At 44.0% G+C, this 21,237-nt stretch overlaps 1 protein-coding gene and 1 long non-coding RNA gene across 2 annotated transcripts, besides 2 other annotated features; one reads left to right on the top strand and one right to left on the bottom strand.

The window, feature by feature from the left end:
* Positions 1-9,387: 9,387 nt before the first annotated feature.
* On the bottom strand, positions 9,388-17,263 carry ZNF792 (zinc finger protein 792). The gene is made up of 4 exons (NM_175872.5): positions 16,664-17,263; positions 13,902-14,028; positions 13,269-13,391; positions 9,388-12,605 (listed from the first exon to the last, which is right to left on the bottom strand). The coding sequence occupies exons 1-4, from the start codon at positions 16,694-16,696 to the stop codon at positions 10,990-10,992; spliced, it is 1,899 nt and encodes a 632-aa protein (NP_787068.3). The 5' UTR covers positions 16,697-17,263; the 3' UTR covers positions 9,388-10,989.
* Positions 16,460-20,954, top strand: LOC124904699 (uncharacterized). The gene is made up of 2 exons (XR_007067236.1): positions 16,460-16,707; positions 20,725-20,954. It is a non-coding gene; the product is annotated as an uncharacterized LOC124904699 (long non-coding RNA).
* Positions 16,605-16,654: a silencer, noted in NCBI's record as "silent region_10510". NCBI's record gives its function as "represses an Ori minimal core promoter by ATAC-STARR-seq in GM12878 lymphoblastoid cells {active_cell/tissue: GM12878}" and the evidence as "EXISTENCE:reporter gene assay evidence [ECO:0000049][PMID:35858748]".
* Positions 16,765-17,024: a silencer, noted in NCBI's record as "silent region_10511". NCBI's record gives its function as "represses an Ori minimal core promoter by ATAC-STARR-seq in GM12878 lymphoblastoid cells {active_cell/tissue: GM12878}" and the evidence as "EXISTENCE:reporter gene assay evidence [ECO:0000049][PMID:35858748]".
* Positions 20,955-21,237: the final 283 nt, after the last annotated feature.

A 21,237-nucleotide genomic window follows, 5' to 3' on the forward strand; every position in this document is an offset into this window, starting at 1 on the left:
AACTGATTTTTGAAAAACAAGTAAAAGCAAATAAATGAAGGCAGATAAGGCTTTTCAGCAAATAATGCTGGAGCAATTGAACGTCCATAGACAAAAGATGTGAACATCAACTTAATCCCATACTTTAAACACAAATTCACTCAAAATGGATCACAGACTAAAATATAAAATATAAAAGTACAAAATGTTCAGAAGAAAATACAGGAGAAAATTGTCAGAACTGAAGGCTAGGTTTACCCTAGGTAAACCCATTAAACAAAAGAAAAAATATCCAAAAATAAGAGTATCAGTTTCCACATTAAAAAACTAACGAAGAGAAATGCAAAATGAGCAGAAGAGAGTATATAATAAAGATTAAAATGGAAGTCAATGAAATAAACAGAATGAACTGTGAAGAAAATCAGTGAAACCAAAAGCCTTAAGAACAATACAACTGATAAACCTCTAGCCAAGGATTATCAAGTTACAAAGAAGCACATAAATTACCCAGATTGGGAATGAGAGACATGACAGATTCTACAGATATTGAAAGGAAAATCATGAACCCATTTATGCCAATAAATCTGGGAAATAAAATAAAATGAACAAACTCTCTTTGAAGACACAAACCACTAAAGTTCACTTAAGAAAAATAAAAATGTATATCCCTATATTTATTTTTAAAATCAGATTTGTAATTAGAAACCTTCCTACAAAGCAAACTGTGGCTTAAATGGCTTCAGTGGTATATTCTACCAAACATTTAGGGAAGAAAACCTAAGAATGCAGAAACTCTTCCAAAAAAGTGGAAGCATAAGGAATGCTTTCCAACTTAATTGGTGAAGCTATTATAGTGATACCAAAACCACACAAAGGCATTACAAGAAAACCGCAGATCAATATCCTTCATGAACATAGGTATAGAAACTTCAACAAAATTTTGGCAAATCAAACCCAACAATACAAAAAAAGGATAACACATCAAGAAAATGTAGATTTACCCTCAAAATATAAAAGTTCACTTGATATTTGAAAATCAATGCAATTTACCATTAAAAGACTTTAAGGCCAGGTGCCCCAGTGGCTCACGCCTGTAATCCCAGCACTTTGGGAGGCTGAGGCAAGCGGATCACTTGAGGTCGGGAGTTTGAGACCAGCCTGACTAACATGGAGAAACCCCATCTCTACTAAAAATACAAAATTAGCCAGGCGTGGTGGCGGATGCCTGTAATCCCAGCTACTCAGGAGGCTGAGGCAGGAGAATCACTTGAACCTGGGAGGCGGAGGTTGCGGTGAGCCAAGACCGTGCCGTTGCACTCCAGCCTGGGCAACAAGACTGAAACTCTGTCTCAAAAAAAAAAAAAAAAAAAAAAAAAAAAAAAAAAAAAAGACTTTAAAACAAGGTAAAACGTGATTGTAGCAGGTAAACTCTAAAAAGAACCCCAAATCTCTACTTCCTGGAATTCTTACCCTTGGGTACCCCTCACACATTTTACAAGGGTTGATCTGTAAAGCCCGTATAAAACAGAAAACATGAGAACATGTAACTTCCAATTTTAGGTTATTGAAGACACTGGTCTCCTTCTTGGGTAGACTCTCCTGCTCTTGGATCACTTTCTCTGTTTGAAAGAATCCCTGTGACGAGCATCCCTATGGAGAGATCCATGTGGCAAGGAACTAAAGCTTCCTGTCAACTGCCATGGAAAAGAGATTAGAATTGAATCTTCCAGCCTCCAGCAAGTTTCCTGAGACTGTAGCTCCAGAGACAGCTTAACTGCAATTTCATGGGGGATTCTCAACCTTGACCTACCTAAGCTGCTTCCAGATTAATGTAATATTCTAAAATATGTAAACAAATGTAGAGTGACAGAAAGCAGATCAGTGGTTTCCTAAAGACGGGTAGGTGGATAAGGAGGAAGAGATTACAAAGAGCCCAAGAAAACCTTTAATTTCATGGCTATAAACATGTACCAAAACTTGTACCTGTGAAATATGTGTAGTTTAGACTTCAATAAAGCTGTTTTTCTAAAAAGAAAAAAAAATACTTAAAAAAATCCTCATTTCCTAATTATTTTACTATTATCTATGCTTTAGAGGTTATTTACGTTTATTGCATCTATTCAGTGGAAACAGAATACAATGGCGTGCTATTGCACATATCTTCCCAACTCCATATTCAGAGACATCATGTTGTAGCTTGAAATTGGCCAAGACAGAAGTATTTACACCTAGGGTATTGGTAAACACTACAAACCAGAACTTGATCTGTTGTTTTATTGACCAGGTAGACTTAAGAAAGCAGAGAATATGTTAATAATTCAGATTAAACTTAAAAGTGTTTCATGTCTCTAGTTTCCCATTGTGAACAGCACAAAATTTTGAGGAAATATTCTTCCAATATTCAAAATTACCCTACAAAACAAATAAGTCACTGGCATTATTAATAAATGACTGCAGTTCCAAAAAATTTCTTTACTATTTCAATATCAACTAATATTTACTTTTAAAATAGGCAAGAGATATCAGTAGACATTTTACCATAGAAGTTATATGGGTGGCAAATAAAAACATGATTTAAAATATGCTCAAAATCATGAAGCCTTAGAGAAATGCAAGTTAAAACTACAATAAGATACTATTACTCCATCCCTAGTAGCATTATAAACATTAAAAACACAGATCATAGCAATTGTTGGTGATTATGTGACGAAACTGGAACTCTTGCTCACAATCAGGGAGGCAGGGGATGTAAAATGGTATAATAACTTTAGAACACAATTTGGCAGTTTCTTAAAATGTAAAATATTCACCTACCCTGCAACAAAGGCATTGCACTTTTAGATAATAACACAAGAGAAGAGAAAGAATATTCCCACACAAAGACCTACACACTAATGATTACAGTAGCTCAATTTGTAACAGACAAAAACCAACATGCAGCTAATAGAAGAAAAGGTGGGAGTTCCAGAGGAAAGAGAGAAACAAGGAGGAAGAGGGACTATTTTTAAGAAATGGCCAAAACTACCCAAATTTGATGAAAGACTTTTTTTTTATTTTAACACACTATACAGATGTAAAAAGACATAAATATAAACACCCAAGAAGCTCAATGAGCTCCAAGAAGGATGAATTCAAAGAGACTCACGCTGAGGCACATTATAATCAAACTGTCAAAAGACAGAGACATAAAGAGAATACTGAAAGCAGCAAAAAAGAAGTGACTCATTACATTCAAGGGATACTCACTAAGATTATCAGATTTCTCATCAGAAACCTTAGAGGGCAGAAGACAGAAGGCAGAAGGCAGTGGGCTGACATGTTCAAAGTGCTAAAAGAAAAGAACGGACAACCAAGACTCCTAAATCTGGCAAAACTATCCACCAAAACTGAGGGAGAAATGAAGACATTCCCAATTGAGGGAATGCGTTACCAAGAGAACTGCTGTGCAAGAAATGCTAAAGGGAGTCCTTCCAGTTGAAATGAAAGGACACTGGACAGTAACTCAGTGCCATGAGAAGAAATAAGGATCTCTAGTAAAGGCAAATACCTGGGAAAATTTTAAAGTTCATATTATTGTAACTTTGGTTTGTACTCCACTTTTTGTTTTTTATGTGATTTAAGAGACGAATGTGTTAAAAAATTATTAATCTATGTTTTTGGACACACAATGTATAAAGAGGTAATTTTGTGACATTACTATCTACAAGTGTTGGGGATGGAGTTGTATAAGATCAGAGTTTTTCTGTGTTATTAACGGTAAGCTGGTAAAAGTTCAAATCAGAGTATTACAAATCTAGGATGTGAAATGTAATCTCCATGGTAACCACAAAGAAAATAGTTATGGAATATACACAAAATGAAACAAGAATGAAATTAAAATGTTTCACATTTGAAAAATCAAACACACAAAAAGAGAGTAATATAGGAAATAAGGGACAAAAAAGCTAAAATCACATAGAAAATAAATAGCAGAATGACAGAAGTAAGTCCCTCCTTATCAGTAATTACTTTAAATATAACTGGATTAAATCCTCAGAGCAAAACACAGAAACTGGCAAAATGAGTTAAAAAACAAACAACAACAACAAAAAAAACACCGATAATCCAACTATATGCTGTCTACAAAGTTTCACTTTAGATCCAAAGACAGAAATAGATTGAAAGTAAAAGAATGGAAAAAGATATTCCATGCAAATAGTAACCAAAAGAAAGCAGGGATGGACATACTGGTATCAAACAAAATAGACCTTAAATCAAAATGTGGTTCCATGAGACAAAGAGAGACGTTACATATTAAGAAAAGATTCAAGACAGCAAGGACATATAACAATTATAAGCATTTATATACCTAATAACAGACCATCAGAATATATGAAGGAAAAATACACAGAATTAACAGAAGAAATAGACAGTTCTACAACAATAGTTAGAGACTTCAATAACCCATTCTCAATAATAAATAAAACAATCAGAAGACCAATAAGGAAATAGAGCACTTGAACAATACAATAAGCCAATTAGATCTAACAGAAAATATATAGAATACACGATAACAATAGAATACACTTGCACATGGGATATTCTCCAAAATAGACCATGTCAGGCCATAAATTAAGGGTCAATAGATTTTAAAAGATATATATCATATAAAATATCTTCCCTGATCACAAGAGGTTAGGAAAACTTGAAAATTCACAAATTTGCAGAGAGCAAATGACACTCTTAAATAATCATTATATCAAAGAAATCACAAAGGAAATTATAAAATAGAGATGAAAGAAAAGGAAAACAATATACAAAAACTTGTAGGATACAACAAAAGCAGTGCCTAAGTAGGAAATTTATAGCTATAAAGATTATATTAAAACAGAAGAAAGATCTCAAATCAAAAATCTAACTTTACAACTTAAAAAAACTTAAGAAAAACTTTATAACTTAAGAAACTTAAGAACAACTGGCCAGGCGCGGTGGCTCATGCCTGTAATCCCAGCACTTTGGAAGGCCAAAGCAGGCAGATCATGAGGTCAGGAGTTCGAGACCAGCCTGACCAACTTGGTGAAACCCTGTCTCTACTAAAGATACAAAAATTAGCCAGGTGTGGTGGTGCACACCTGTAATCCCAGCTACTCAGGAGGCTGAGGCAGGAGAATTGCTTGAACCTGGGAGGCAGAGGTTGCAGTGAGCTAAGATCGTGCCACTGCACTCCAGCCTGGCAACAGAGCAAGGCTCTGTCTCAAAAAAAAAACAAAACAAAAAAAAAACAAAACAAAAAACAAAGAAAACACTAAGCCAAAAATTTAGCAGGAGGAAGGAAATAATAAAGATTAGAGCAGAGATAACTAGAGAATATAAAAGCAATAGAGAAAATCAACAAAATCAAAAGTTGGTTGTTAGGATTAACAAAATTGACGAAATTTTAGTTAGAAATGACAAAAAAAAGAAGATTCAAATTAATAAAATTAGAAATTAAAATGAAGACACTATGATAGAGTCTATATAAATAAAAAAAATTACAAGAGAGCTATGAACAATTGTATGCCAACAAATTGGTTGACCTAGAATGGATATATTCTGTGAGACACAAAATCTACCAAGACTGAATCATGAAAAACTAAAAGGCTGAGTACCATGGCTTATGCCAGTGATCCTAGCACTTTGGGAGACTGAGGCAGGAGAATGCGTAAGCCTAAGAGTTTGAGACTGGCCTGGGCAACATAGAGAGACCCTGTCTCTATAAAAATAAAAATCAGCTGGATATGATGGTGCGTGCCTGTAGTCCCAGCTACTCAGGAAGCTGAAATGGGAGGATTGCTGAGCCCAGCAGGTTGAGGCTGCAGTAAGCCATGATCATGCCACTGCACTCCAGCCTGGGTGACAAAGCGAGACTCTTTCCCTCTCTTTCTCACTCTCTCTCAATGATGAAGAAGAAGAGAAAGAGGAAGGAGAGGAAGAGGAAGAAGAAGAAGAGGAAGAAGAAAAAGAAAAGAAAAAAGAAAAATTTGAATAGGCCTATCAACAGTAAACATAGAGAATCAAAAACCTCTCAACATGAACAACACAAAAGCCCTGACCTGACAGCTTATCTGGTGAATACTACTATACACTTAAAGAACTAACACCAATCCTTCTTAAACTTTTCCAAAAAACTGAAGGATAAAACACTTCCTAACTCATTTTATGAAGCAGAATTGCCCTTATGCCAAAGCCAGCCAAACATAAGAGAACTACAAACCAATATCCCTTATGAACACTGATGCCAAAATCCTCAATCAAATATTAGCAAGCCAAATTAAGCAGCATGTTAAAAGGATTATACACCATGTCCAAGTGGGATTTATTCCTAGAATGCAAGGATGGTTCAATGCATGAAAAACAATCAATATACTATTCCATATTAACAGAATAAAGGAAAAAACCAATCATCTCTTTTGATGCAGAAAAAGCATTTGACAAAAATTCAATACCATTTCATGTAAAAAAAAACTCAAAAAATGAAATAAAAGGAAACTATGTCAATGTAATAAAAGCCATATATAAAAACCCATAGCTAACATCATTCTCAATGGTGAAAAACCAAAAGCTTTCTGATCAGGAACAAGGCAAAGATGTCCTCTTTCTCTGTTTCTGTTCAACATGGTACTGGAAGTCCTAGCCAGAGTAATTATGGAAGAAAAGAAGTAAAAGGCAGCCAAATTGGAAAGGAAGAAGTGAAATTATTTCTGATCCCAGGTGATATTATATGTAGATAATTCTAAAGTTTTCACACACACACACACACAAAGACTTAAAATTAATAAATGAATTCAGCAAACTAGCAGGATAAAAAAAATCAACACAGAAAAATGACTTACATTTCCATACACTAACAATGAACAATCTGAAAAGGAAATCATGAAAACAGTTCCATTTACATTAGCATCAAAAGTAATAGAATGCTTAGGAATTAACCAAGGAGGTGAAAACTTGTACAATGAAAACTACAAAACACTCCTGAAAGAAAGCAAAGACATAAATAATGGAATGAAATTCCATATTCACAGATTGGGTAACTTAATATTATTAAGATGTCAATACCACCCAAAGTGATCAATAGATTTAATGGAATCCCAATAATATCTTGTGCAGAAATATAAAGATCCATTCTAAAATTAATATGGAATCTCAAGGGATCCTGAACAGCCAAAAGAATATTGAAAAAGAACAAAGTTGAAGGTCTCACACTTCCTAATTTTAAAACTTACTACAAAGCTACAGTAATTAAAACAGCATGAAACTGGTGTAAGGACAGACATACACACCAACAGAATTAAAATGGAGCTCAGAAGTAAACCCTCACATATATGCTCAAATGATTTTTGACAGGAGTGCCAAGACCAACCAATGGGGAAAAGACAGTCTTTTGAACAAATGGTGTTAGGAAAATGGGATATCCACATGCAAAACAGTGAAGCTGGACCCTTACCTAACACCATACACAAAAATGAACTCCAAAAAGTGACTCAAAATGAATCAAAGACCTAGATGTAAGAGCTAAAACTATAAAAACTCTTAGAGACATAGGTGGCAATGGTTCCTTATATATGACACCAAAGGCAAAGACACCAAAAGAAAACATAGACAAATTGAACCTCATGAAAATTTAAAATTTTCTGATCAACGGACACTATGAACAGAGTAAAACGGTCCACAGAATGGGAGAAAATATCTGATAAAGGATTAGTACCCAGAATATACAGAAAAGTTGTAAAACTCAACAACAAAACAACCCAATTCAAAAATGGAAATAAGAAGCCGGGCGCAGTGGCTCATGCCTGTAATCCCAGCATTTTGGGAGGCGGAGGCGGGCAGATCACGAGGTCAGGAGATCGAGACCATCCTGGCTAACATGGTGAAACCCCATCTCTACTAAAAATACAAAAAATTAGCTGGGCGTGGTGGCAGGTGCCTGTAGTCCCAGCTACTCGGGAGGCTGAGGCAGGAGGATGGCGTGAACCCGGGAGGCAGAGCTTGCAGTGAGCCGATCGCGCCACTGCACTCCAGCCTGGGCGACAGAGCGAGACTCCATCTCAGAAAAAAAAAAAAAAAATGGAGATAAGGAGGGGTGAGTGAAAAAAAAATGGAGAAAATACTTGAATAGAAATTTCCCCAAAGATATACAAATGGCCAGTAAGCACATGAAATGATACTTAAAGTCACAAATCATTAGGGAAAGCATATCAAATAAGATACTACTTCACACCCATTAGAATGGCTACCACCAAAAAAAACAAAAACAAGTGCTGGTGAGGATGTAGGAAAACAAATTTTTTTTTTTTTTTTTTGAGAGGGAGTCTCACTCTGCTGCCCAGGCTGGAGTGCAGTGGCGTGATCTCGGCTCACTGCAAGCTCCGCCTCCTGGGTTCACACCATTCTCCTGCCTCAGCCTCCCAAGTAGCTGGGACTACAGGCGCCTGCCACCACGCCCAGCTAATTTTTTGTATTTTTAGTAGAGATGGGGTTTCACCGTGTTAGCCAGGATGGTCTCGATCTCCTGACCTCGTGATCCACCTGCCTCAGCCTCCCAAAGTGCTGGGATTACAGGCATGAGCCACCACACCCGGCTCTGAAAAATTTTAAACTTTGTTTATTGTTGGTAAGAATGTGAAAGGGTGCAGTTCTGTGGAAAACAGTGTATGTCAGGTCCTCAAAAAACTAAAAATAGATTTACTATATCATCTAGTAATTCTACTTCTGAGCATATACCCAAAAGAGTTGAAAGTAGGGTCTTGAATAGATATTTGTTGTGCACTCAGGTTCAGAGCAGCATTATTCGAAATAGGCAAAAGGTGGAGGCACCCCAAGTATCCATTGACACATGATAGAGAAGCAAAATGCAGCACATACAAGGAAATACTAATCAGCCCTAAAAAGGAAATTCTGACATATGCTCCAACATTGATGAACCTTGAGAATATTATGCTAAGTGTGAAATAAGCTAGCTACAAAAAGACAAATACTTATTATTCTACTTATATGAGGTACCTAGAGTGGTCAAATTCATACAGACAGGAAGTAGAATGGTGGTTTTGAGGGGCTGGGGAAGGGAAAATGGGAAGTTATTGCTTGACAGGTACAGAATTTCAGTTTTGCAAGATTGAAGAGTTCTGGAGACGAATGGTGGTGATGGTTACATAACAATACGAATCTACTTAATACCATTGAAGTATACACTAAAAATGGTTAGGATAGTAAATTTCATGTTAAGTATATTTCATCAGATTTTTTTAACATTTTTAAATAAACCATAAAAAACTATGGTGCACTCACCCAGTATAGCACTACTCAGTAGTAAAAGGAATGAACTATATATACACACAGCATGGATGATTCTCAAGATAATTATGCTGCATGAAAGAAACCAGACCAAAAGAGAGTATAAATACTTTATGATTCCAATTGTGTTAATTCTAGAAAAGGCAAACAAATCTAAAGTAAAAAATGTAAATCAACGGTTTCCTAGGGAAGGCAAGGAGGGAATGTAAAGGGGCATGAGGTAGCTTTGCAGGTGATGGATACGTTCATTATCATGATTATGGTATTGGTTCCCTGAGTGTACATAATATATGTACAAAACTTACCAAATATGAATAATTATTGCATGACAATCACATATCAACAAAGCATTAAAAGAAACTGTTGCACATAAAAATCCAACTTCCTACTCATTTTAGAAAATCCGATTTGGCAACCCTATATTGACTCTGTCATCTCTTTCTTCTTGCCTTGGGAGCAAAGAATGGCTGGCTACGTCATAGATACTACAGTCCCTATAGTATAGGATCTGCTTTTTCTCAGTCCCTATTTTCCTGCCAGCACAGCACTGGCCTTCAGATGCACAGCACGGAGATGGTAATCCACAAAACCAAAACCTTTAGATTATTTGCTCTGCCAGTAACATTAGTCATAGGACAGAGGTCTGAGGTCCTGAGAATTTCTGCAAACCCTGAATCCTGCACAGCCACATTCAAGGGAGCATTCACGGATGCACATTTAGCAGAGTTCCATTTCTGCTGGTTTGCTATAATCTCGCCTACTCCCTATTAATCACATCCAGTGTTTCTGTACAAATTATGGTCCCAGCTGGGCCTGGTATGTCTTACAGTTAAGAGATACCTGCCTAATGCTGAACTTCAGGGCATATGGCTCCTTGGCAGGTGCTAAACAGCATCTGCTTTACAGTATTGGGGAATATGGGGCACCCCCTGGGAATAAGGGACCCAATTCATGCTGTTCCCACATGCACTGGAGGTTGTCACAACTGCCCCCTCCTCGGGATAAAAATTCACGCCATTCAGACCACAATATTATACCCATAAATTCCTACAATTTTTCCTAGGAGGCCTTGGTGGCAATGCAAATGAGGTCAAATCTGGATTGACAGTTGTTTCTCTGCCATCCTCCTGTCCCCTCCAAGATAATCTGGAGACCCCTTCAGTTTGGTAGATCTTAACTCTGCTCTTGAACCACCCCACACAGTGATCAGAACATGGAAGACTAAAGGCGGCTTTATCATAAGGCCATTATCATCACATGAACCAGGGCAATACACAGGAGATAAGTTGTTGTGTAGAGTAACATGAAGGCTGGACAAATCCTTCACAGGCATAACATGAGACCAACAATGTCCCAGAAAAAGGGAAACCTTCTCTAGAACAAGCTGTTGGCAAAACCCTGCTCAGGTCTTCACAGCCAAAAGCTGGTCATGTCCATGGCTAAACCAGCCATACAGGGCGGGAATGACATCTTCCCAAGGCTTCAGACTACTCCTAATTCCCTTTAGGGATTGGAAAGAGAGAGGAGAGGTCTGCCTTCCCTGAGCACAGTGGAGTGGTGGACACACTCTTTGGAGAGCTGCAGTGTGTGGTGCTGACATGGCTTCTATCACAACCCCAGCAGTGAAAAAACGCTGATAAACTCTACAGTAAGAGAATGTAACTTGTCTCCAGAAAGCTTCCAACACAGCTAGCATTCCTAGGGAACCTCCCCAGGGTGGGTACTTGGATGAACAAGTTTCAACTTGTAGTTGACAGCGCCCTGATAAGGTCTGTTCTCAGAGCTTATCTCTGGTGTGTGCTGTGAACAGGGAAGGAGCACATTCTCCATGCTCCTTTCTCTGATGTGAATCTTCTGATGCCGAATGAGGGTAGGCCTTTGGTTGAAGGCTTTCCCACATTCGCTGCATTCGTAAGGCCTGTCTGGTTTGTGAACTTTCAGGTGCTGCCTCAGATTGGACCTCTGCCTGAAGGTTTTCCCACATTCGCTGCACTCATAAGGCCGCTCGCCGGTGTGAAGTCTCCGGTGGTTATTGAGGCTGGAGCTTTGGTTAAAGAATTTCCCACATTCACTGCACTGGTAAGGCCGTTCACCAGTGTGAAGTCTCCGATGGCTATTGAGGCTGGAGCTCTGGCTAAATAACTTCCCACATTCATTGCATTCATAAGGCCGCTCACCAGTGTGAACTCGCTGATGTTTCATGAGGTCAGAGCTTCGGCTGAAGGCTTTCCCACACTCACCACACCCGTGAGGCCGCTCGCCAGTGTGAACTATCTGATGTTGAATGAGGCTGGCAATGTGGCTGAAGAATTTCCCACATTCGTTACACTTGTAAGGTCTTTCTCCAGTGTGAACTCTCCAATGTTTAATTAGGCTGGAGTTGCAGTTGAAAGATTTCCCACATTCACTGCACTCATGGGCACTTCTGCCCGTATGAACCCTCTTATGATGAATGAGGTTGGAACGCTGGCTGAAGAACTTCCCACAGTCGCTGCACTCATATGGCTTTTCACCAGTGTGAACCCTCTTATGCTGAATGAGGTTGGAGCTTCGGCTGAAGAATTTCCCACAGTCACCACACACGTGAGGGCTTTCACCGGTGTGAACCCTGCGATGTTTAACAAGGCTGGAGTGCTGGCTGAAGAATTTTCCACATTCACAGCACTCATACGGTTTTCCTCTATTGTGAACTTTCTGGTGTTGAGTGAGGTCAGCGGCGTAAGTGAAGAAGATTCCACATTTGCTGCATTCATAAGGCCTTTCTCTGCTGTGGATTCTCTGGTGCTGAACAAGAGTGGATTTGTTATTGAAGGCATCCCCAGATTCACAGCACTTGTTATGCCTTAGTGCAATGTGAAAATCCACCACACCTTCGGTGGCCTCGTGCGGCTCCCCATCGCTGGGAGTGACCTCACACTGCAGAAACCCTGCTGTGGCCACAAAGTCCTTCCCACCCTCCCTGCAGGTGGAAAGCTGATCTGATGTGTGGTCTCTGCAGGTCTTTACAGGGGAAGCCTGGCCCTCCTCCGTTCTGATAGGGTTGTGTACGTTCTGCTGCACCTGTTTCCGGGGAAGGTTTGCACTGAACTCAGAGCCTTTCACATATGCCTCACACACAAATGGTTTCTGCCTGGGATGTGTTGTCTGGTGTTCAGCCAAATGCAAAATGTCTTTCAAACGTAGGCCACATATGTCACAGGGGCAGGTCTTCTGGGGGCACAGAGTTGCCTCGGGACTCCTGTCCTGTGCCACTCCTTCTACAGAAACGTTATGCTCAGAAGGTAAGTCCTTGCCCTCTGTTCCATGGCAAAAATCTGAAAGCAGAGAAATGCTGGTGAAGTTCGTATAAACTTTAATAGAAGGAAAGAGCCCCATCACCTATGCTTGGCTGACCCAAGAATAAGCCCATGGGATTGTTGGCAACACAAGAAGGCTCAGGTCAGGGTAAGGAATAATCTGCTCCGCCATACTGTGCCTGGCCAGGTCACAAAATACAGGAGGCCTTATCAGGACCAGGGACACAAGGATGGGGGACAGTATTGGGCAGAGAGGCAGGGTCTCCCACTCACTTCTCTTTAAAGGCCTTTTGGCAGGGCCTGGGCTGCTGGTAACCTGTGAGGGCTATGCAGTGAGAGCATCTAGACCCAGCAAAACCTGCAACTGAGTAGCTGGTGTTCAAGCACATCAAGGAAAAGCACGTATCTCACAACACATTAAGTGTAGGCCAGTGTTGGAAAGTGCCGCAGAGGAAGCTGAAAGAGAGAAACGGAGGCCAGAAAAGTGGGGCACAGCCAAGGGGCCCAACTCAGAATAATAATGACAAGTAGATAATGTGTCAAGCACGGGGAAGGAAAAGCAGAGACGTGGTCTGGCTACTGGCATTGGTATCAAATGATGATGAATAGGAGAGAAGATGCTGGTATGATGTAAACACAGTGGTGAAGTCACATCCTCCCCTAGCTCCCATCGCTGCTTACCAGAGCCAGGCCTGCCATAAGCCCCTCTGGCCATGGCTGATGTCATATCCACACTGTCAGGCACCCAGGGCTCTTTCCCCATCTCCAACTGGGAAACGATGTGGGACCTGAAAGATATAAGTCCTAAGGGAAAGACAGAGTGGGTCAGTGGCCAGCACCTGCCCAGTTGAACTACCCCATGATAGACTACAAGACAGGAAGCTCCGTATGACACAGGGACATTGGGTGGTCACGGCAAGCAGTAACCACATCAGTGATTGGAATTCCTGGCACAGTCAGGCTTAGGAAATATTAGCAAGAGGAAAGGCACAGAATCTAAACCACAGAACTGTCAGATCTGGATAATCACCCAGGAGGGAATGGCCGAGTCAGAGGTAGTCACACAGCTAACCGCAAGACCCCTCATGCCTGGAGCTTCCCTGCAAGGCTTCAGGCAGCAGGTGTGGGGGCAGCTCAGGGAGAGGAGGGAACAATGCACATAGCTCAGCCCCAGAAGCCACAACACACATACCAGGAAAGTGGGGATGGAAGCAGTGCCAGCGGTCTGGCTGTGGGAAGGAAAGAGCTGTTTCTTGGGCAAAGGGGACAGGCAGAGAGGAGCTCGGGACACCGGGGTAGGGGTGACAGCCTTACCCAGCGAGGCTATAAGTGCAAAGTTTTCCAGCATCACATCGCAGTACAGGAGTCTCTGAGCCTCATCGAGGAGCACCCACTCCTCCTGGGAGAAGTAAATGGTCACGTCCTCAAAGGTCACGCAGCCCTGCCATGATGGGGACAGTTCGTTCCATGATCAGTCTCTGTCCTTGGGACTCCCTATCCATCCCCTGCTCACTCTCCTCCCCAGCTCCACAGCTCCAGGAGGTAGCAGGCCCTGGTTCTGTGGGCGCCTCATGTGACCACTGTGTCAGCCCGCAGCAGCAACAGGCAGGGTGCAGAGAGGCACCCTCTAAGCTCTGGGCCTGAAGTCCAGGGCCCAGCTCGCTCTTCTGCCAGCCTCTTCCCCTAGTGTCACCAATGTCATGCTTCTCAGATACAAATGTGGGCTTCTCCTTTAAACCCCAGTCCAGAGCCCTGGGGTGAACAGCTCATACTCCCTCCCACGTGCGTTTCACTCTTTGGACTGCACCACCCTCACAGCTCCAGACCTTCACCACGGCCTCCCATTGCCACTGCTACCTTCTCCCCATCCTGGCCCCTATCCTAGCCATCTCCATGGGCTCCCACGAGTCACTCTGCACATGGCATCCAGAGAGTGCCTGGCAAACATAAGCACCATCCCAGCCTGCCCCAGACCTTTGATGGCCTCCACTGCCAAGGGCAACACCCAGGTAAGGGGGAGAGGGAGCGCTCCACCCTTGCCTTGGAGCCCCCTAGCTCCCCTGGCCTGGCTTCAACCTAAGCCACCCACGGCACACATGGATGTCACATACACTTGGCCTTCTTTGTTGCACATTCTGACCCTGTCATCACTCACACTCATTTAAAAAAGAAAAAAAAAGCCAACCCCTCTGGCCATCCTACCCCCACCCACCTAAGCCCAGCAACTCTGCCAACTGACTCCTCTTGCCCCAAGCTAATTCCCCAGCCTGAGGACAAACCCCATCAAGGGTCACCACAGAAGCCTGGTGAGAACATAGGTGAGTGTGTAAGCACCAGCCCAGGCCTCACTGCAATATTACCTCCTCTACTGCTAAGCCTCAGCATCCATCTCATTCATGTCTACACTCTTTGGGATGATCTGGCCACCTGCCAGACCCTCTGATACACCCACATAGCCCCTCCATCACCACCATGACCACTACTGTTCCTCACCTGTCTTTATGATGCCAAACAAGCCACAGTCCCCAAGCAAGAACCCTGCTCTCAGTTTTCCAGCCCCACCTTCCTCTTTTTTTTAACATCATTGTCACCATGACCTGAAGTTTCACCTCCTAAATCTCACACACAGCTACACTCCCGTCCACACACCAGATGTCACATTTTGGATGTTTCTAACTGTTGAAATAAACAAAGACCAATGAAATGAGAAAAGCCAAGGCTACTTACTCAAAGCTCACTATAGCAAGAGAGACTCAATGCAAGCCGGGAGTGGGAGAGTTTTATAGCAAAAGAAAAGGAAGGCTTCAGGCGTGCCCTGGTTGGAGGCTCCTGTTCGTAGGTGGGTGAACTAGAAGTGGGCATCCTATGTGATTGGTTAGGGTGCGTATCTGCCTTTCTCTGGTTGTTCTTAAATCAGAAGCAGGAGCAAAAATGAGGAAAGCTGTCTGTTATTAATCAAACCCTGGCCATTTGGGACTGCTCATTACAGAAGTTATTGTTTTTACTTCCTGGATTGTCAGTCCAGATAGCAATCTGGCTTCCTGTGGGTCTGACAGACAGCAGGCTGGCTTCCTGCTGTATGGGTTGTTTATTGTAGATAAGGGGGTTGGTTTCCTGGGCAGGTTCTGGGGCAGAGTTCTATTTGTATACATGATCTGGCCATTGTTCGAATGAATATCCAGTCTCTCATTACCTTAACAACTCCCTCAGAACACCCGAACTGTGTGTTCAGCGGCCCACTCTTCAACTCCATTTGGGGGTCTCTGGGACATCACAGGCTCAACTTGGCCAAAACCTAACTTCTACTGCTTCCATGGAAAATTCCTCCTAAAACCAACTTCTCAGTTCATAAAGCTGGATTCATCAAACCAAAAACCATGGATTCTTCCCTCCTCTTTCTCACCCTCCACATCGGAAAATTTGGTCAGCTTGACTTAAAAGACATCAAGTTCCCAATCACTTCCTCTACCTCCAGTCCTCACTCTGGTCCGGCCAGCCGCAGCACTGGCCTGGGCTATTCCATTAGGCTACTCCTTGGCATCCCTGCTTGCGGCTCACTCCATATTCAGTTCTCCACTGTGCATCCACAGGGAGCCTGTTAAGACCTGAGTCACAGCATCTTCCTCCTCTGCCCTAAACCTTCCATGGCTCCCAACACCCTCAGAACAGAGGCCCAGCTCTGCCGTTCTGAGCTGTCTTCAGCCCACCTGCTCTCTGGTTCCAGCAGACATAATATTAATAACACTGACCTGGGTGGGGTTCCTTGAACACTCCCAACTCAGTCTCCACACCGTGCCCCACCCCACCCCCAAGCTTTTGCGCACGCTGGTTCCTGTGCCTACAAAGCCCTTTCTCCCTCCATCCCATTACATTTCAGCAACGGAAGCCACTTTATATAAACCCTGCCCTGATTCAGGATCCTAGCTGGGAGCAACTCCCTTCCAGGGTCCCCTGACTCAAAAGCAAGGAAATGGGAAAGGCGAAAAGTCCTAGAACAAAGCCATCTTTTGCGTCTCAACACCGAGAACAGAAGCGTGGGGGGCCGACAGCGAAGGGCCTAACGTCCAAGCACTCACCTGCGCGGGGTCCCGCAGCGCCGCCGCTGCCATCGGAGTCTGTGGTCAGAGCAGGGCCCCACGGTGCGGGAAACCACGGGGCGGGGGTAGGGGGTCTCGCAGGCTGAGGCTACCACCCACCTGGCCGTGCCCCAGACGAGGTGTGACCCCGGGCTGAGGGTCGCACTCCTAGCCTCAGTCTCCCCCGTGCAAAATGCGCAAGGGGCCCGGGGCGCAGGCTCCGGGGGCGCCGAGAGCGCGCAGCTCCGCTGGGTACCCCCGTTGCAAGGGGTCACGGCTGGTGCAAAGGCGCGGAGGGGGTCCCGGCCTCACTGTCCCCCTCGCGGTCCGGGAAAGCCGGCGGGGCAGCTTCACGGGCGTAGCCCCAGCCGCCCCGCCCCCAACTCGGGGTCCCCAGCTCCTGGGGACTCAGCCTCCCCGCCGGGAAATGACCTGCGAGGCTGCAGTGCAGGAAGTTCCGGCCCCCACCGTGGCGGCCGGGAGAGTTGCCCTCTCCCGTACTGTCATTGGCCTGGCGCCAGCCGCTGGTGCACAGGCAGGGCCTGGGGATCGCGAGTTTCTGCCCAGCCTCTCGTCAGGCTGAGGGTCCAGGGCGGGAAGGAGAGCGGATCTCGTCGGGTCTCCACCGCCGCCGCCTGCAGCCCTCGGGCCTTCCCCTTAAAGGGGCCGCTCCCGAGCCTGCAGCCGCCCGCGCTAAACCCCGCCCACCCTCCGAGGTCCAGGAGGAGAGCCCCAGTGCTCTTCCTGCGCGTGTGGGCATCGGCCAGCCGCTTCACCCCTAAGGGACCTAAATTCACACTGGAAAATGGGGATAGTACCCAATGGGCGGGGTCTTTGCGTTGTAATATTAAATGTCGCTCTGATTCAGGGCTTCTCAAACCAGCAACATCAGCATCACCTGGGGACTGGCTGAAAATGCAGGTTCTGGGGCAACAACTTAAATCTAAGGACTCAGAAATTCTGGGGATGGGATTCAGCCTTCTCTACTTTTTGCGGGGGGGGCGGGGGGGATGGGTCTCGTTCTGTTGTCCAGGCTGGAGTGCAGTGGCCTGATCATAGCTCACTGCAGCCTCCATCTCGGGCTCAAGCTATCCTCCTGCCTCAGCCTACCAGGTAGATGGGATACAGGCGTGCACCATCATACACAGCTAATTTTAAAATTTTTTGTAGAGACTGGATCTCCCTGTGATGCCTAGGCTGGTCTCAAACTCCTGAGCTCAAGTGATCCTCTCACCTCGGCCTCCCAAAGTGTTGGGAATTGCAGGAGTGAGCCATGGTGCCAGGCCTCCTTCTCTGTTTTAACAAGCCCTCTGGGGACTCCAATGCTGGCTCCAACTTTACAGCAGGGACTCTCATTGAAATCCAGTAAATAAAATGGGAAAAATAACACTACATTGTTGCAGGAAGTCAGGGACCCCGAACGGAGGGACCTGCTGAAGCCGTGACAGAAGAACATTAATTGTGAAGATTTCATGGACATTTATTAGTTCCCCAAATTAATACTTTTATAATTTCTTATGCCTGTCTTTACTGCAATCTCTGAACATAAATTGTGAAGATTTCATGGACATGTATCGCTTCCCCAATCAATACTCTTGTGATTTCCTATGCCTGACTTTACTTTAATCTCTTAATCCTGTCATCTTCGTAAGCTGAGGATGTATGTCATCTCAGGACCCTGTGATGATTGCGTTAACTGCACAGATTGTTTGTAGGGCATGTGTGTTTGAACAATATGAAATCTGGGCACCTTAAGAACAGGATAACAGCGATTTTCAGGGAACAAGGGAGATAACCTTAAAGTCTGGCTGCCTGTGGGACGGGCAGGACAGAGCCATATTTCTCCTATTACCAAAAACGGGTAAGAGAAATATCGCTGAATTCTTTCCCCAGTAAGGAATATTAATAATTAACAGCCCTGGGAAAATAATGCATTCCCAGGGCAGTGCCTCTAAAATGGCTGCCCTGGGAGTGTCTGCCTTATGCACATGTAGATAGGGATGAAACACACCCTAGTCTCCTGCAGCGCCCCCAGGCTTGCTAGGATTAGGAAATTCCAGCCTGGCGAACTCTAGTCAGACCAGTTCTCTGCTCTTGAACCCTGTTAAGATGTTTATAAATGACAATGCGTGCACAGCAGGACATGGAAGCTCATGAGTGATTCTAGTTTTGCCCTGACCTTGTGATCTCGCCCTGACCTTCTGCCTTGTGATCTTTTGTTGCCCTTAAAGCATGTGATCTCTGTGACCCACACCCTATTCGTACACTCCCTCCCCTTTGAAAATTGCCAATAAAAACTTGCTGGTTTTATGGCTCGGGGGCATCACGGAACCTGCTGACATGTGATGTCTCCCCCAGACACCCAGCTTTAAAATTTATCTCTTTTGTACTCTTTCCCTTTATTTCTCAGACCAGCCGACACTTAGGGAAAATAGAAAAGAACCCACATTGAATTATCGGGGGTGGGTTCCCCCGATACTACATGTCATATGGTGAAACCACCTTTGTAAAAATTATAACTGAGAAAATTATGACAGTGAGAGATCTGACCTAACCAACTCCATCTTGCTTCTAACCTCCAAGCTGTCCTTGTTCGTTCCTGAGCATAGGCCTAACTAACTTTGGGAGAAACTCAGTTTACAGTTTAACTTTGAAGCAAAGATAACAGCCCTTTCCCTCTAGGCCGGGCATGGTGGTTCACCCCTGTAATCCCAGCACTTTGGCAGGCCGAGGCAGGCGGATCACGAGTTCAGGAGATCGAGACCATTCTGGCTAACATGGTGAAACCCTGTCTCTACTAAAAATACAAAAAATTAGCCAGGTGTGGTGGCGGGCACCTGTAGTCCCAGCTACTCAGGAGGCTGAGGCAGGAGAATGGCATGAACCCCGGGAGGTAGAGCTTGCAGTGAGCTGAGATCGCCTCCAGCCCGGGCAACAGAGCGAGACTCCATCTCAAAAACAAAAACAAACAAAAAAACCCAGCCCTTTCCTGAAACAAACCCTCTTCTTGTCTGGGGACCAGACTGCCTTTGTAGGATTAACAAAAGCCACAAGATTAGAGAGTATGGTTTAGGAGTCATGCAGCCAGGGGCCAGGGGTCACAAGATTTTAAACCTTCCCAATTGCTACTGGGGATAACATCACTATTGTAAAACCTAAGATTGGTGCTCGAGATATTTTTCAGACCCAGCACTCGATGGATCAGCTAGTGCCACCCAGATTGATAAACTGGGTCATCTGGTCCTGTGGTCCCCACCCTGGAATTTACTCAGTGCAGTTAGTCAACTTTGACTCCCTGTGATTTCATCTCTAACCCAACTAATCAGCACTCCCCACTACCTGGCCCCCCACCCACCAAATTATCCCTGAAAACCTCTGATCACTGAATTTTCAGGGAGATCAAGTTGAGTAATAACTCTGTTTCTCCCATGGCATGGCTGGCCCTGTGTCAGTTAAAGACTTTGTTTACTGCAATGCCGTGGTCTTTTTGTAGCAGGCAAAAAGAACCCATTGGGTGGTTACAATGGTAGATAACAGGGCCCAGGACAGAATTCCTGCTGGGTGCATAAAAGCTATTGTCATTACCAACACCATCATCACAAGAATCTTACAAACACTGCTGTGGGGCGGCAGGGAAGAGACACCTCTGTGCAGTCTTTTGGATGTTTGTCAAAATATACAATGACTCTAACTCAGCAAGTACCGCCTCAGAGGGAATAGTTATGATTTTTACATGAAAGCACACCATAGTAACATTTGCCTACTTGATTTTATTTTATTATTTTCTTATAGCTGCATTTTTTTGTTTTTCTAAATTTATAAAATAATATATAATTATTGTATGCAACATGATGTTTTGAAATATAGATACATTGTGGAATTGATAGGGACAGGAGGTAGGGAAATTCTGGGCAGAAGAGGCCAGGTCCATCAAGCTGAAAATCTTGATACCACGGCCCAAAGTGAGAACTTACATCCCTGTTTTCCCACTCAAATGTTGCCTTTTCCAAAACCACCCGTGGCTCACCCTGCCCCCCATCCTATGCCCATAAAAACCCCAGGCTCAGCCGGCAGAGAGAAGAAAAGCAGCTGGACATTGGAGACTATGGTTGGATGTTGGAGAGAAGCAGGCTGACTTCAAAGGGACAGCTTGACAGCGTAGCTTTGGAGAGGATGGCCAGGGATGGCCAAACTTCAGGGGACGATTACCTTCCTGCTCCATCCCCTTTTCAGCTCCTCTTCCTGCTGAGAGCCACTTTCACCGGCAATAAAATCCCCTGCATTTACCATCTTCAATTTGTTTGTGTGACCTCATTCCTCCTGGATGCCAGACAAAAACTTGGGTGCCATGAGTGTGGGTACAAAAGGCTGTCGCACTGACCCTCCACTGAGCTGTTAACACTTAAGCTATGCATGGATGGCAAAGCTAAAAGGGCACTGTAACACTTCGTCAGGGGCTTCAGGGGTCACAGCACCTTCCCCTAGACACTGCCGTGGGGCTAGTATGGAATTTGCTCTTGCCAGCACCCAAAAGCCCTCACCCTGTCTCCTGCACCCACTCACCTGTGCTCCCC

Source organism: Homo sapiens, chromosome 19 (genome assembly GCF_000001405.40).
Source record: "Homo sapiens chromosome 19, GRCh38.p14 Primary Assembly".
NCBI lineage: Eukaryota > Metazoa > Chordata > Mammalia > Primates > Hominidae > Homo > Homo sapiens.